The sequence below is a fragment of the Homo sapiens genome, chromosome 8, assembly GCF_000001405.40.
Source record: "Homo sapiens chromosome 8, GRCh38.p14 Primary Assembly".
Classification (NCBI taxonomy): domain Eukaryota; kingdom Metazoa; phylum Chordata; class Mammalia; order Primates; family Hominidae; genus Homo; species Homo sapiens.
In genome coordinates, this window is record NC_000008.11 from 73,718,783 (window position 1) to 73,737,439 (window position 18,657).

An 18,657-nucleotide genomic window follows, 5' to 3' on the forward strand; every position below is an offset into this window, starting at 1 on the left:
CATATTTTTGATGCTTTTGAAAATGCTACTCTTTTATTTTCATTTATGATTGTTCTCTGCTAATGTATAGAAACACAATTGGTTTTTGCATACTGCTCTTCTATCCTGCAACTCTGCTATAGTAATTTATTAGTTCTAGTAGGATTCCATCAGATTTTCTACATAGACAATCAGGTCATCTGTGAATAAGGACAGTTTTATTCATTTCTTTCCAATCTGAACACCATGCATTTCCTTCTCTTGCATGATGGCATGGGCTAGAACCTCCACGGCAACGTCAAACGGAACTGGTTAAAGTGGACATCCCGTCTTCTTTTTTTAAAATAAGTGTCCAGTTTTGGCCAGGTGTGGTGGCTCACGCCTGTAATCCCAGCACTTTGGGAGGCCGAGGCAGGTGGATCACAAGGTCAGGAGATCGAGACCATCTTGGCCAACCTGGTGAAACCCCGTCTCTACTAAAAAATACAAAAAAATTAGCCAGACATAGTGGCGGGTGTCTGTAGTCCCAGCTACTACAGAGGCTGAGGCAGGAGAATGGCACGAACTCACAAGGGGGAGCTTTCAGTGAGCCGAGATCGTGCCACTTCAGCCTGGGCAACAGAGCGAGACTGTCTCAAAAAAAAAGGTGTCCAGTTTTTCACCAATAAGTACAAGGTCAGCTAATAAGGTTTTTCATAGAAGCACATTAGCAGGCTGGGAAAGTTCACTTCCACTTCTAGTTTGCTGAGAGTCTTTATGATACTGAATATTAGATTTTATCAAATGATTTTTCTGCATCTATTGAGATGATCATGTGATTTTTGCTTTTTAGTTCATTAATATGTTAAATTACACTACTGATTTTTTGGAACACTAAACCAACCCCACATTCCTGGGATAAACCCCACATGGTTATGACATATTATCCTTTTAATAAACTGTTGAATTAGATTTGCTGAAACTTTGTTTAGATTTTTGCAATTATATTTATGAGACATACTGGTCTGTAATTTCCTTAAAATGTATTTGTCTGATTCTGGTATCCCAGTAATGCTGGCATCATGAGCCTTGTAAAAAATTCCTTCCACTTCAATATTTTTAAAAGCATATAAAATTGATATTATTTTTTCCTTAACTTGTATAATTCACCAGTGAAACTATCCGGACCTAGAGTTTTCTTTTTAAGTAGACTTTTACTACAATTTTTATTTCTTTAGCATATAAAAAGCTACTCAGGGCTAGGCATGATAGCTCATGTCTGTAACCCTACCACTTCAGGCCAAAGCAAGAGGATCACTTGAGCCCAGGAGTTGGAGACCAGTCAGTACAACATGGTGAAACCTTATCTCTACAAACATTAAAAATAAAAAAATTAGCCAGGCATGGTAGCATGTGCCTGAAGTCCCAGCTAGGAGGCTGAAGTGGGAAGATCACTTGAGGTCAAGGCCACAGTGAGCTATCATCGGACCACTGCTCTCCAGCCTGGGCGACAGAGTGAGACCCTGTCTCAAAAAAAAAGCTATTCAGGTTATCCATTTTCTTCTTCTTCCTTTGGGATTAATTTGTTCTTCTTTTTCTAGTCTTTTAAGATGGAAGCTGAAGTCAAATATTTGAGCTATTTGAGTTCATTCTTCTTTCAAAATATATACATTTGGAGCTATAAATTTCTCCCTAAATACTGTTTTAGCAATATCTCCTAATGTTGTATTGCTGTTGTCATTTAGTTTAAAATACTTTCTTTTTTTTTTTTTTTTTTTTTTTTGAGACGGAGTCTCGCTCTGTCGCCCAGGCCGGACTGCGGACTGCAGTGGCGCAATCTCGGCTCACTGCAAGCTCCGCTTCCCGGGTTCACGCCATTCTCCTGCCTCAGCCTCCCGAGTAGCTGGGACTACAGGCGCCCGCCACCGCGCCCGGCTAATTTTTTGTATTTTTAGTAGAGACAGGGTTTCACCTTGTTAACCAGGATGGTCTCGATCTCCTGACCTCATGATCCACCCGCCTCGGCCTCCCAAAGTGCTGGGATTACAGGCGTGAGCCACCGCGCCCGGCCTAGTTTAAAATACTTTCTAATTTACCTTTCCTTCTTTTTAAACCATAGATTACTTATATTTTTTAATTTCCAAATATTTAGAGATTTCCCAAGAATCTTTCTGTTAATGATTCCTAATTCCACTGTAATCAGATACAATTTTTTAATGACTTGAATCCTTTTGAATTCATTTAAGACTTGTTTCATGGCCAGGCACCATGGCTCACGCATGCAATCCTAGGAGTTTGGGAGGCAGAGGCAGGAGGATCACCTGAACCCAGGAGTTCTAGACCAACCTGGGCAACACAGTAAGATCCCAACACTACAAAAAAAAAAAAAAAAAAAGAATATTAGCTGGGTGTGGCGGCACACATTTATAGTCCTAGATACTCGGGGAGCAGAAATGGGAGGATTGTTTGAGCCCAGGAGGTCAAGGCTGCAGTCAGCCATGGTGGTACCACTTCACTACAGCGTGAACAAAGCAAAACCCCACCTCCAAAAAAAAAAAAAAAAAAAAAAAAAAAAGTCCTTTATGGCCCAAAATACAGTTTATCGTTGCAAATGTTTTGGATAAACTTGTGAACAAATACGTATTCTACTCTTTTTAGGTAGAGTGTTCTATAAATGCAATTAGGTCAAGTTGCTTAACAGTTACTCAAGTCTACTATATCTTTGATGATTTTCTGTCCACTTCTATCAATTATTGACAGGGGTTACTAAAATCTCCAATTATGACTGGATTTCTCAATTTCTCCTTGCATTTCTATCAGGTTTTGTTTCATGTGTTTTGAAGCTCTGTTATTAGGTGCATAAACATGTAACATCATTATGTCCTCTTAACTGACCTCTTTACCATTATAAATGAAATGACCTTCTTTATCCCTGGAAATATTCCTTGCTCTCAAATATACTTTAATATTAATATAGCCACTCCAAGTTGCTTTTGACTAGGTTACCATATTATATCTTTTCCCATTCTTTCACTTTTAACCTGTTTGTTTACAAACTATTTCTTGTAGGCAAGCATATAGTTGGATCTTGCTTTTATATCCAATCTGACAAATTCAGCCTTTAAACTGGAGTGTTTAGACAATTTACATTTAGTGTGACTATTCATATGGTTAGGTTTGATTCTATCATCTTGCTATTTATTTTATATTTTTCCCATTTGGTGTTTGTTCCTTTTTTCTTCTTTTTGGACTTCTGTTGAATTATTTTGTGTGACTCCATTTTATCTCCTTTTTATTGGCTTATTAGTTGTAACTCTCTATTTTGCTATTTTAGGGGCTAGAGTTTACAGTATACATTTTTAACTTACCACAGTCTATCTTCCAGTGATATTATCACCTCACACAGAGCAAAAGAATCTTATAACAGTATACCTCCATTTCTCCCTCCCTGCCTTTTAGCTATTGTTATCATGCATTTTACTTTTAGATAAGTTATAAACCCCACAACAGCTTGTTAATATTTTTGCTTTAAGCAGTCACTTATCTTTTAAGGAGATTTAACTGATAAGAAAAAAAATCTCATGTATTTACCCAAGTAGTTACCATTTCTAGTGTTCTTTCTTTCATGTAACTCCATATTTGCATCTGGTATCATTTTCCTGCTGTCTGAAGAATTGCTTTTAAATTTTCTTCCAGAGGGGAAATGTTAGCAATAAATTCTTTCTGCTTCTGTGTTGTAAACATCTTTATCTCATCTTTATTTTAGAAACATATTTTTGTCAGATACAGAATTATAGATTGACATTTTTCATCTTTCAGTACTTTAAAGATGCTTCCCCAGTTTGCTTGCTTATATCGTTTCTGATAAATCTATTAAGATAATCATCTTTATCTTTCTTCCTCTACACACAAAATGACCATATCTCTTTCTCTGACTGCTTTTCAGATTTTCTCTTTATCATTTGCTTTCAACAATTTGATTATAATGTACAGTAAGTCCTCACTTAACATCATCAATAGGTCCTTGGAAGCTGCAACTTCAAGTGAAACAAAGTAGAACAGAACCCAATTTACCATGGTCCAATCGACATAAACAAGTGTTAAGTTCCTACAGTGTATTTCTAGTTACAAAAACATCACCGAACTTCTAATACCAAAACACTTCTAATATTAAACAATGAAATGAATGTGAGCTACACATACACTTAAGAAAGATTAATAAAAACAAGTAAGATAATTATTCACCCAATTTTTCTAGTTCAGGGTCACAGGTGGTCAGAGCGTATCCTAGCCGCTCAGGGCACAAGGCAGAAACCAGCCTTAGACAGAATGCTATTCCACACTAGAGTGCGTGCGTGCCCACACACCCACACACACACACACACATACACACACACACACAACAGACTAACTCATACTGGAACAATCTAGAGAAGCCAATTAACCTAATGCTCACATCTCCCTAATGTGGGAGGAAACTGAAGTCCCAAAGAAAACCCATGCAGACATGGGAAGAACATGAAAACATCACACCAATACTGGCCCCAGCCAGGAATCAATTCTTTTTCTCTCATCAACATTATGACAAAATGATGTTGAAAGAAACATTATTTGAGGACCTGCTATACCTTGGTGTAGTTTTATGTTTCTTATACTTAAAACTCATTCAACTTCTTTATCTGTAGATTTATGGCTTAAGTCTAAAACATTTTTGGCCATTATTTCTTAAAATATATTCTTCTGTATATTATGTCCCTTGAGAACTACAATTATTCATCTATTTGGCTGCTTGAGTGTGTCCCACAGCTCACTGACTTTTTTTTCTTCTTTCTCTATGCTTCATTCTGGATGGTTTCTATTGCTCTGCCTTCAAGTTCATTCATAATTTTTTCTGCAATGTCTAATTTACCATTAATCTCATACCGTATATTTTTCATCTCAGTTGTAGTTTTCATCACTGTAAGTCTGATATGGGTCTTTTTGTCTCTTCTGTATCTCTAACTTTTTGAATACATGGAATACAGTTATAATGTTTTAATGCCCTCTGCTAATTCTATCATCTGTGTCAGTTCTGTGTCAATTTTGACGGAAGATTCTCATAATTATGGGTCATATTTCATGCTTCTTTGCATACATGGTAATCTTTAACTGAATGACATACCTTGTTAATTTTACCTTGCTATATGACTCCTATAAATCTTTTTGGACTTTGTCCAGGCATACAGTTGAGTAATTTGGAAATAGTTTGTTCCTTTCAAGTCTTGTTTTTATAATTTACTAGTTCGCTCCAGAGCAGCAACATCTTCTCAACTCAGAGTCTGCCAGACTCCACATCTCAGTTTCTACTCTCTATGTCACATCCTGGAAAATCTCTCAGTGCAGTAGGCCTGGGGCAATTGTAGGACTCACCTTGTTTGTTTCTTCTCTCTCAAGAATCACTTGATTCTTGAGATTAAGACCTGAATGTCTTAATCATTGTTGTTTCTACATATTTTGTTTTTTTGGAGAAGAGGGGTAGGATTGTTTCAAGAGGACAGTAAACACGATCCTTGTTACACCACATGGACCAGAGGCAAAAGTCCCCATCCGTCCTTCTTATTTAATCTATCTGTATCTATTTGAGTTTCTTGTAAACATCATAAATATACCGTCCCTGACTTACGATGGTTCACCTTATGATTCAACTTTACCATAGTGACAAAGTGATATGCACTCAGTAGAAACCATACTGAAGTACCTATATAAGCATTCTATTTTTCACTTTCAGTATCACATTCAATAAATTATAATGAGATATTTAACACTTTATTATAAAATAGGGTGTATTTAGATGATTTTGCCCAACTGTAGTCTAACTTAAGTGTTCTGAGCACATTTAAGGTAGGCTAGGCTAAGCTATGATGTTCAGTAGGTTGTGTGTGTGTGTGTGTGTGTGTATATATATATATATATTTTTTTTTTTTTTCTGAGTCAAGGTCCCACTCTGTCACCCAGACTAGAATGCAATGAAGACTATAACTCACTGCAGCCTTGACCTCCTGGGCTCAAGCAACCCTCACACTTCAGCCTCCCAAGTAGCTAGGACTACAGGTGCACACCACCACATCCAGCTAATTTTTGTATTTTTTGTAGAGATGGGTTTTCACCATGTTGTCCAGGCTGGTCTTGAACTCCTAGGTTCAAATTATCTGCCAGCCTTGGCCTCCCAAAGTGCTGGGATACAGGCATGAGCCACCATGCCCAGTTAATTATGTGTATGAAATACATTTTTGACTTTCAATATTTTCATCTTACAATGGGTTTATCAGGACCTAACACCATCATAAGTCAAGGAGCATCTGTACTTGAGTCTTGCTCTTCTATACAATCTGACAATCTTTGCCATTTAAATTGAGCATTTAAGTCATTTACATTTAGTATAGTTGTCAATATTACTAGATTTATATCTACTGTTTTGTTATGTTTTTGTCCTTTTATTTGTTCCTTTCTTCAACTTTATCTTCTTTTAGACTGATTATTTTTAGTACCCATTTTATATCCTACATAGGCTTACTATTTTTATTTTGTCGTATAGGAATTGTTCTAAAACATACACAGCCTACCTTCAAATATCATTCCACTTCATGTTTGATATCAGCACCTAAAAATTCTATACTTCCCTTTCCCTTATCCCTTTCTTTATGCTACTGACATCAATTAATTTCTATGTATAAGCCCTCAAGGCACTGTTAGTATTTTTGTTTTAGTCAATTATCTTTTTAAAAGTTAAAAATGGGCCAGGCATGGTGGCTCACACCTGTAATCCCAACACTTTGGGAGGCCAAGGTGGGCGGATCACTGGAGGTCAGGAGTTCAAGACCAGCCTGGCCAACATGGCAAAACCCCATCTCTACTAAAAATAAAAAAATTAACTGAGCATAGTGGCTCATGCCTGTAATCCCAGCCCTTTGGGAGGCCGAGGCAGGTGAATCACTTGAGTCCAGGAGTTGGGAGACCAACCTGAGCAACATGGCAAAACACCTTCTCAACAAAATATATAAAAATTAGCCGGATATAGTGGTGCATGCCTGTAATCCCAGCTACTTGAGAGGCTGAGGTGGGAGGACTGCTTCAGCCTGGGAGGTCGAGGCTGCAGTGAGCCATCATCGTGCCACTGCACTCCAGCCTGGGAAACCTGTCTCAAGACCTGTCTCAACAACAACAACAACAAAATTTTTATTTCAATACCACCAATTTTCAGCTATTTGATTATGATGTGCGTGGTTAGGTTTTTTTTTTTTTTAATATTTCTTCTACTTTAGGTTGACTTCTTACCATCATCTACAGGTTTATAGTTTCTACTAAACAGAGAACAGAGGTTTAAAGTCATTATTTCTTAATGTCATTCGCAGCAACCTGGATGGAACTGGAGACTTATTCTAACTGAAATAACTCTGGAATGGAAAACCAAACGTCATATATTCTCACTCATAAGTGGGAGCTAAATTTGTGAGGATGTAAAGGTGTAAGAATGATACAATGGACTTTGGGGACTTGGGGAAAGGGTGAAAGTGGTATGAGGTATAAAAGACTACACATTGAGTACAGTGTACACTGCTTGGGTGATGGGTGCACCAAAGTCTCAGAAATCACCACTAAAGAACTTATTCATGTAACCAAACACCACCTGTTTCCCAAAAACTGTTGAAATAAAAAATAAATAAAAGTCATTATTTCTTATAATATTTTCTGTTGCCCCTCCCTTCTCCTAGGATTCTAATTACACGTCTTAGGCCACTCGATATTTCCCACAGCTCACTGATGCTGTTTTTTTCTTTAGTCCTTCCACCCTGTGCTTCATTTTGGATAGTCACTATTGTTATCTATTCAAGCCCACTGATGTGTGTCTTATCTGCTATTAATCCCATCCAATATATATTTTATTTCAGATACTGCATTCTTCATCTCTATTTTTATATTTTCTATGTATTTCCACATCATCTTTCTGTTTTCCCCTCGTGTCTTGAACATTTAGAGCATATTAGTAAGAACTGTTTCTATATCTTTGTCTGCTAAACCATCTTTATCATTTCTGGGTCTCTTTCTTTTCAGAAAATGTTTAAATCCTGGCTATGGGTCATATTTTCATTCTTCTTTGTAAGCATTTTAATATTTTATTGAGGTAGAATTGACATAATATCTAATTAATCCATTCAAAGTGAACGTTCGGCTGGGCACGGTGGCTCACTCCTGTAATCCCAGCACTTTGGGAGGCCGAGGCAGGTGGATCACTTGAGGTCAGGAGTTCAAGACCAGCCTGGCCAACATGGTGAAACCCCGTCTCTACTAAAAATACAAAATTTAGCTGGGCGTGGCGGCAGGTGCCTGTAATCCCAGCTACTGAGGAGGCTGAGGCAGGAGAATCCCTTGAACCCGGGAGGCAGAGGTTGCAGTGAGCTGAGATCACACCACTGCACTCCAGACTGAGCGACAGAGGGAGACTACATCTCAAAAAAATAAATAAATAAAAAATAAACTGAATATTCCAGTGGTATTTAGTCCACTCACAGTGTTGTACAACTACCACCTATACCTAGTTCCAAAACACTGTTATGACCCCAAAAGGGAATTCAACACCCATTAGGCAGTTGCTTCTCATTCACCCTTAATCCCAGGCCCTGGCAAGCAACAATCTACATTCTGTCTCATAGATTACCTATTGTGGATATTTCACATAAATGGAATCATACAATATGTGACCATTTGTGTGTGTCTTCTTTCACTTAATATGTTTTCTAGGTTCATCTGCATCGTAGCATGTATCTGTACTTCATTTCTTTACTGCTAGACAATTTATGGAATACAGACTACTGCAATTTGTTTACTCATTCATCCACTGATGGACATTTGGGTTGTTTCCACCATTTAGCTATTGCAAATAGTAATGCTATGAACATGTGTGGTCATATATTTGTTTGAGTACCTGCTTTCAATTCTTCAGGGTATATACCTAGGAGTGGAATTGCTGGGTCATATGACAAGTCTATGTGTTCCTTTGAGGAATTGTCAAACTCTTTTTTCCACAGAGGCTGAACCATTTAACATTCCCACCAGCAACATACGAGGGTTCCAGTTTCTCCACATCGTCCTCAAAACCAGTTACTGCCCGTCTTTTGATTCTGGCCATCCTAGTAGGTGAGAAGTGGTATCTTACTGTGGTTTTCATTTGCATCTCCCTGATCACTAATGATGTTGAGTATTAATGATGTGTTTATCTTCTCAGAGTAACTGTCTATTCCAAGTCCTTTGCCCATTTTTTAGTTGAGCTTTTTTTTGCTGTTGAGTTGTAAGTTTTCGTTCTTGTATTTTGGCCATTGGTCCATTATGAGTTAATTTTTATACATGGCATGAAGTAGGGGTCCAACTTTATTGTTTTGCATGTGCATCTCCAGGGGTCCCCAAACCATTTGAAGAGATTATTCTTTCCCCACTGAATCATCCTGGCATGTTTGTTAAAAATCAATTGCCTACATATATATTAATTCTGGACTCTCAATTCTATTAGTCTATACATCTATCCTTATGCCAGTACCACACTATTTTGATCATTGTAGCTTTGCAGTAAGTTTCTTAATTGGGAAATATGAGTCCTCTGGCTTTATTCTTCCTTTTTCAAGATGGTTTTGGCTATTTGGATCTGTTGCAATTCCATATGAATATGAGGATCAGCTTTCCAACTTTTGCAAAAAAAAAAAAAAAAGGCCAATGGAATTTTGATAGAGATTGCATTGAATCTGGAGATTGCTTTGGACAGTATTGCCATCCTAACGGCAATGTAAAGTCTTCCAATTCATGAACACAAAATGTCTTTCCACTTATTTAGGTCTTCTTTATTTCAACATGTTTTATAGTTTACAGTGCACAAGTCTTTCATAAGCAAGTCAACTCCTTTAGGCTTTTGGATGCTATTATAAATGCAATCTTTTAAAATTTCTTTTTGTATTGTTCATTCCGAGTACACAGAAACACAAATGCTTTTTGTGTGTTACCTTGTACCTACAACTTTGCTCAAGTTATTTATTAGCTTTAGTGGAGGTTTTTCTGGATTCTTTGGGATTTTCTATATATAGGACCATGTCATCTGCAAACAGAGACAGTTTTATTTCTTCCTTCCAAATCTGTATGTCTTTGTTTCTTTTTCTTGTCACACTGCTCTGGCTATAACTTCCACTACAACTTGAATAACTGGTGAGAATGGGTATCCGTGCCTTGTTCCTGATCATAAGGGCAAGGATTTCAGTCTTTTACTATTGAGTTGGATGTTAGCTGTGGGTTTTTTCATAAACGCTGAATGTTGAGGAAATGTTTAAAAAAAAAGTTCCCTACTATTCCTGATTTTGAGCCTTTCTATCAAGAACAGCTGTTGAATTTTGTCAACTGCCTACTGTATCAATTGAAACAATCACGTGGGGGTTTTCCCCGCTTCATTCTATTAATGTGTTGTACTACACCACCCTTGCAATCCTGGGAATAAGTCCCACTTGGCCATGGTGCATATTCCTTTAAATATGCTGCTAGATTCAGTTTGCTAGTATTTTGTTGAAGATTTTTGCATCTTTATTAATAAGGAATATTGGTCTGTAATTTTCGCATTACGTCTTTGTTTGGCTTTGGTATCAGGGTAATAATACTGGCCTCAAAGAGTGAGTTAGGAAGTATTCTTACTCTCTCCTCTCCAATTTTTTGGAAGAGTTTGAGAGCGATTCTCATACTCTTTAAATATTTAAATATTTGGTATTCTTCTTTAAATATTTGGTAGAATCCACCAGAGAAGCAATATGGTACTGGACTTCTGATTGGGAGTTTTTGTTTTGTTTTGAGATAGGGTCTCACTCTATCACCCAGGTTGGAGTGCAATGGCATAATCATGGATCACTGCAGTCTCAACCTCCCAGGCTCAAGTAATCTTAGTTTGGGAGGTTTTTTAACTAATTCAATCTGTTCACTTGTAAGTCTGTTATATTTTCTGTTTCTTCTGAGTCAGTTTTAGTAATGCGTATTTCTAAAACTGTGTCCATTTCATGTAGGTTATCTAATCTGTGCATAAAATTGCTCACAGTATTCTCTTTAATCCTTTTTGTTTAAGGTCAGTAGTAATGTCCCCACACTCACGTCTAGTTTTAGTTATACCTATCTGTGTTTTTTCTTTGTCAGTCTAGCAAAAGGTTTGTCAATTTCATTGATCTTTTCAAAGAATCAAACTTTTGGTTTCACTAATTCTCTATATTATTTTCCTATTCTCTATTTCATTTATCTCCACTCTAATCTTTATTTACTTCCTTTTTTCTGGTAGCTTTGCATTTTCTAGTTTCTTTAAAATGTAAAGTAAGATTATTTATTTGAGGCCTTTCTTATTCTTTAATGTAGATGTTTATTGCTAATAATTTCCCTCTCAGGACTGTTTTCACTGCATCATTTAAGTCACATATATTGTTTCCATTTTAATTTATTTCTAAGTATTCTCTAATTCCCACATATTTGTAAATTTCCATATATTTGTAAATTTTCCAGTATTCCTTCTGTTAATGATTACTAACTTCATTCCACTGTGACTGGAGAAGATACATAGCATGATTTCAATCTTTTTAAATTTACTGAAACTTGTTTTGTGGCCTAATACAGCCTGGAGAATGTTTCATGTATACTTTAAAAGAATATATATTTTGGCAGGGTGCAGTGGCTCACGCCTATAATCCCTGCACTTTGGGAGGCCGAGGAGGGTGGATCACCTGAGGTCAGGAGTCTGAGACCAGTCTGGCCAACATGGCAAAACCCCGTCTCTACTAAAAATACAAAAATTAGCTGGGTGTGGTGGTGGACACCTGTAATCCTAGCTACTCAGGAGGCTGAGGCAGGAGAATCACTTGAACCCCGGAGGCAGAGGTTGCGGTGAGCCAAGATGGAGACATTGCACTCTGGGCTGGGTAACAGAGCAAGACTACGTCTTTCAAAAAAAAAAAAAAAAAAAAGACAAAAAAAAAAGAATACATATTTTGCTGTTGCTGAATGTTCTGTATATGTCTGTTAGGTCTAGTTGATTAATACTGTTGTTGAGGTCCTCTAGTCCCTTACTGATATTCTGTCTAGATGTTCTATCCATTGCTAACGTCAAAGCAAGCATTTTTTGACTGAATGACAAAAACTAAATTTTACATTGTTGGGTTCTGAATTTTGTTGTATTCCTCTAAATAGTGTTCTGGTGCAGTTAAGTTACTTGGAATCATTTGGAGCCTTCTGAGGACTCTTCCCAGTGCCCCATGTATTCTACAACATACTTTACTCTGCATAGTAGGAACACGACTATTTGAAGCCTTATTGTGAACTCTGGAAATTGTTTTTCTTAGTGCTTTCCAAGTGTTTTCTTCTCTGGCCTCAGGTAGGGCCTGTCAAGCATCTACGAAATCAGAACTCAGCAAAAGACTCCAGGAGAACCCTCTGGAGATCTCCAAAATGCATGCTCACTTGTTCATGCTCTCTTGCTTTTTAGTTTATGCCTCCCCAACGCCAATCCCAACCCCCTTAGCTCTTTTTTCTCTGGTACTCTGCCCTGTAATTCTAATCGCCTTGATCTTCCCAAATTTTTATCTTTGTCTTTTTATCTCAGTAGGACTGCTGGGCTCTGTTTTGGTTCCTCCACACCTTGCACTGCAGCCAATAAACTGCCTCTAGGCTCTGCAGTAAGCTGTTACAATTGAAGGGCTTTACCTTCACTTGTTCCTATTCTCTCAGGGATCACAGTCTGGTGCTGCCTGTCATCAATGTCTAAAAGCTATTGTTTATATATTTTATAAATTCTCAAGTTATTTAAAGAGGAAGAGTAGATTTTTGCTACATAACAAATTACCTCCAATTTTGTGGCTTTAAAAATCAAGCATTGGCCAGGCACGGTGACTCACGCCTGTAATTCCAGCACTTTGGGAGGCCAAGGCAGGAGGATCACCTGAGGTCAGGAATTTGAGACCAGCCTGCCCAACATGATGAAACCCCATCTCTACTAAAAATACAAAAAATTAGCCAGGTGCGGTGGTGCACGTCTGTAGTCCCAGCTACTCAGGAGGCTGAGGCAGGAGAATCACCTGAACCTGGGAGACAGAGGTTGCAGTGAGCTGAGATCGTACCACTGCACTCTAGCCTGGGTGACAGACCAAGACTTCAACTCAAAAAAAGCTAAAAAAAATTTAAAAACAAACAAAACAAGCATTTCTTTTTTTCACACAGTTTCTGAGGGTTGGCAATCAGGGAACAGCTTAGATGGGTAGTTCTGGCTCAGGATCTCTCATGAGGTTGCAGTCAAGATGTCAGCAGGACAGATGTTTAGGACTGGAAGCTTGACTAAAGCTGAGACATCTGCTTCCAAGAAGGCTCGTTCACATGCTGTTGGCTAGAGAGGCCTCAGTTCCTTGTTGGCTGTTGGCAGGAGGCCTCAGTTTCCCACAGCATGGGCCTCCCCATCGGGCCATTCACAACATGGCAGCTAACTATTCTCAGAGTGAGTAATCCAAGGTTGGGGGTAGTGAGGGGAAGGAGGTGGAGCCACATTTGTATTATAAATAACCTATCCTAAGAAATGATCCATCACTTCTGTTACATTCTATTGGTTCCACAGATAAACCTCAATACAGTGTGTATGGGGATTACACCATGGTGTAAATATCGGGATGCCGGGATCATTGGGGGCCATCTTGGAAGCTGGCTACATATAAAATAAATCCAGTTCCCATTATACCAGCATAGGGGAAAGTAGAAGTCTTTCTTACACATTTTTAACCTCCTTATGTTTACTATTTTTCTTATCCCCTAACTGTAGGCTATATTCTATGGCTACAAGAGACATGAGCAGATTACAGAGCTCCACACCCAGTCTTGGAAAGAAAAGTAACTACTACTAAGTAGCAGCAACTTTTAAGAGAAAAGAATAGAGTTCCTGGTGCTTGTGGCAAGAAGCAGGAGGACCTTGAAGCCAATCTGGGCTTGAGAAAGTGGTTCATTCCCCCAAATACTTCACTCAATGATCTACCTAAATGTCTGCCGTCTGCCCTCCTTTCCCACCAATTTCCAGTCAGGCAGCAATAGCCAACAGCAATATTAATAGTAAAATTAATAGCAGTAGTACCAGCACCAATGCTAAGCATTTTGCCTTTGTTATCTCAATTACTCCTCACAACAAACCTCTGAGATAGCTGTCATTATTCCTTACACTCTAGACTTTGTTTCTTGGTAGTCATACTCTGGTCTTACACTATCCAGTGTAATAAAAACTTTTTTTTTTTTTTTAATAACACCTGGCTCCCTCTTGCCCTACACGGTTCTGCTACTCCTTCGACACGGAAAAATTCTGTCTTGTCCTGCCTGTCATCTCTTCCACTTCAGTTAGGCCTTAAAGCTTCCTCTTAGCTACCATGTTCCCAATATCTACTATCAAACCTCACTAAAAAGAATCACCAGATTATTTTGATCCCTGTAAATTCCCAGTTGCTAGGCTCTCCCAATACTACAACCGCCTAATATAGACTTTTCCAATTCCTTAGGACACACTGACCTGTCAAGCCTACCTCACCAGCTAATCTCCAAAACTTGGCCCTACTTCAGCTACTCATTTAAAAATATTATTCACAGCATGTATCTTCGTAATTTATATTTGCTGTAGCTTACTGCTAAAATGAGTTCCTTTTCCCGGGGGACCTATAATTAATGATCAGGGAGAAAGGGCCAAAATATACCATACTGGTAAATATTATGGTACCCCAGAAACCAGTATACTCCCGTTGGTTATCTGTTGAATAATGACTGAAAAGTATAAAGTAATGATTATAAATACTAACTCAGAAAATTATCAGAGGGCATAATCCAAAGAATGTTATTTACAAATAAAAAGAAATAGATGACAGTAGACACATATAAGCAATCCACAAAAGGCAAAACACGAAAGAACAAAAAATATTTAAATATTATAGAAACACAAAATAAAATACCACCTTTTGTCAGACAGATAAGCAAAGACTGAAATTTTGTCAAGGAAGTAAGGAAACAGGTAGATACACTTCTGGCAGATATAATTTTGTCTTTTTGGGAGCTATACACCAAATATCTTTAAAATCCACATACATCTTTGACTAGTATTTCCATTTCTAATAATTAATTCTAAGAAAATAATTGGACAAAGAGATATACATTTAAAAAATTTACTATGGCACTAACTACAATATAAAAATCTGTCCAACAATAAGGGCTTGGTTAAATTTTAGTACATCCAAACTAAGAATTATTATTAAATCACTTCAAAACATTACATATTGTATAATCCCAGTTTTTAAAAAGTAACATATATTCACATAAAAACATACCTGCATAGAAAAAAAATCTAGAAGTATACACCCCAAAATGTTACCAGTGATTATCTCTGTAATAGAAGTGGAATTTTTTGTGATTTTTTTTGTTTGTTTTTCAGGGTTTGTTTTTTTTTTTTTTTGCTTATCACACCTAATTTTCTACAGTAAGCATAAGTTGCACATGGATAATAACACACATTCTTAAAAGGCAAAAACAACAACTATGATCACAATTTAAAGGCAGAAAAGTGCTATTATCTTAACAGAACATGGAACATCCATGTTCTATGATAATAATAAAGTTAGGCAAAGTTAATATCAAATAACCTGATATTCAATAGCCTAGTTTTTAATTAGTTTTAGTAACACATATGGAAGAATCTGTTATGAATAAAAAACCATGTAGGCCGGGCACGGTGGCTCACGCCTGTAATCCCAGCACTTTGAAAGGCCAAGGCAGGCAGACCACGAGGTCAGAAGTTCGAGACCAGCCTGACCAACATGGTGAAACTCCATCTCTACTAAGAATACAAAAATTAGCCGGGCGTGGTGGCATGCGCTTGTGATCCCAGCTACTCAGGAGGCTGAAACAGAAGAATTGCTTGAATTCGGAAGGCGGAGGATGCAGTGAGCCAAGATCATGCCACTGCACTCCAGCATGGGCAACAGAGTGAGACTCCATCTCAAAAAATAAAAAATAAAAAAGCATCTAATTCAGGTATTTTAAGAAAACAAAAGCCTTCCCAAATAAAAATGTAGTACTAATCCTAGAGACAACGTTGAAAATCACGTAGTAAAAATCTCAACTCTTTCAAGCTGAGAATCAACTTAAATCCCCTTTGCATGCCTAGGGTCTCATTCTGTTACCCAGGCTGGAGTGCAGTGGTATGATCACAGTTCACTGCAGCCTCAACCTCCCAGGCTCAAGAGATCCTCCACCCCAGCCTCCCAAGTAGCTGAGACTACAGGCATGTGTCACCATATCTAACTTTTTTTATTTTTTGTAGAGACAGGGTCCTACTATGTTGCCCAAGCTGGTCTCAAAATCCTGGGCTCAAGCAATCCTCCTGCTTCAGCCTCCCAAAGTGCTGGGATTACAGGCATGGGCCACCACACTGGGCCCCTTTACACATTTACCTTGAGAACCCTCACTGTTATGAGAAAGTGGTTGCCCAGAAAGTAAGATTCAAAAATCACTCATGAATTTAAGAATTCAACTCTATGTTTAGCTGAAGAGAGTCTTCATCTCAGACTTGAACAGTTTGGGGGATGACAGTTATAGTCAGTAACAAGAAGGGGGGGTCTCTTAAATTGTTCTAGGAATACACTTCTGTTAAGATTGAGCATCCTAAATCCAAAAATCTGAAATCCAAAATCTCCAAGATTTCAAACTTCTTTTGTACCAACATAATGCTCAAAGGAAATGCTCATTGGAGCATTTTGGATTTTCGATTTTTGGATTAGGGATGCTCAACCTGTAGGCAAAATTCCAAAATCTAAAAAAATCTGAAATCCAAAACACTTCCAGTGCCAAGCATTTTGGATAAGGAATACTCAACCTGTACAATTTAAGTATGTATATCTCCAGGCACTGTGTACGATTTCTAGCCAACATCCAGGGAATTGCTTGTGGCCATGTAGAGAATTGCCTAGGAACTGTTTGCAATGCCTGATTCAACATGACCTGCAACATAGCCAGTCAGTAAATCCTCATTAGGACTAATCCATAAACTATAATTTTCAATGAAGTTGGCTAGCATAAAATGGTCATTTCCAAATGTCTGTGGCAGAAGATGAAAAATTATTTTAATTGTAACCAAATAATTAATGGCAGGTATCCATAGAAAGTTATTTAGTGGCAACTTCACAGCTATAACAGTTTGCAAATAAGGTCTCATAATGCTTCCACTGGGATTTGAGAGCAGCTGTGAGGAAACAGGAAGCACTAAGCACAGGACAGCACTACGATTTCTTTAAATTATTAGTAATGTTTTTGATTAAAGTAATTTTTGTTGCACTAGGGAAGTTTCTAGTACAGGAGAAAACTAAATAATAACTTTACATGAGGGAGAGTTAGTTGCATTTGTGTAACACAAGCAGCATATAACACCAAAACTGACAACATAATTACGTGGTTATTGTTGAAAAATAAATATCTCCTTGCTTTAGTGACAACTCTAGCACCATTCATATATTCATACACCCAACAAATAAATGTATGAAAACTATTTACATTGTTTATTCTAGGACCTGGAAATATAAGAGTAAACAAGAAAAGTCACTGTCTTCATGAAACAAACTGTCTAACAAGGGAGACAGATGTTACAACAAATAATTACATATTTGACTATAACTACAAATGTCATGTTATTAAACTAAAGAGCAAGGTGCTATAACAGCATATAGCAGGACTGCAGTCAAGCAAGCCAAACCCAGGGGTGGGGAAGAGAGGTCCAGCAGAGGAAATCTGTGCAAATCCCTGTAGCCAGAACAACCTTACCCAATCTAGGAACTGAAACGGTCCAGTAAAACTGAAGCACTGAGATTATTTCTAGGGCACACATTAAGTCTAAGATGTATAAAGACATCCAAGAGATCAAGGTGGTAAATGCTACATGAGTTTGGAGCTCAGAAAAAAAAGGTCTAGACCAGGTATAAACTTAGAAGTCATTAGCTTAGAGATGGCATGGGATGCACAGGAACTGGAAATTTCTTTGGCAAGGTGAGCAGGACTATATGTCGGAAGGCAGGGGGTCAAGATTACTTTCTTTTTTTGGAACGCATCTCGCTCTGTAGCCCAGGCTGGAGTGCAGTGGTGTGATCTCAGCTCACTGCAACCTCCGTCTGCTGGGTTCAAGCAACTCTTCTGCCTCAGCCTCCCAAGTAGCTGGGACTACAGGTGTGCACCACCATGACTGGCTGATTTTTTTGTATTTTTAGTAAAGATGGGGTTTCACCATGTTGGCCATGCTGGTCTTGATCTCCTGATCTCAGGTGATCTACCTGCCTTCGTCTCCCAAAGTGCTGGGATTACAGGCGTGAGCGACCACGCCTGGCCAAGATTACTTTTGTTTTTTTTTTGAGACAGTCTCACTCTTTTTGCCCAGGGTGGAGTGCAATGGCACGATCTTGGCTCACCGCAACCTCCGCCTCCCGGGTTCAAGTGATTCTCCTGCCTCAGCCTCCCGAGTAGCTGGGATTACAGGCACGCACCACCATGCCTGGCTAATTTTGTATTTTTTAGTAGAGACGGGGTTTCCCCATGTTGGCCAGGCTGGTCTCGGACTCCCGACCTCAGGTGATCTGCCCGCCTTGGCCTCCCAAAGTGCTG

At 38.3% G+C, this 18,657-nt stretch overlaps 1 protein-coding gene across 7 annotated transcripts in view; it reads right to left on the reverse strand.

Moving 5' to 3' along the window:
- STAU2 (staufen double-stranded RNA binding protein 2) overlaps positions 1 to 18,657 on the reverse strand; it is a 327,112-nt gene that overhangs the window by 298,414 nt on the left and 10,041 nt on the right. The window lies entirely within an intron of this gene.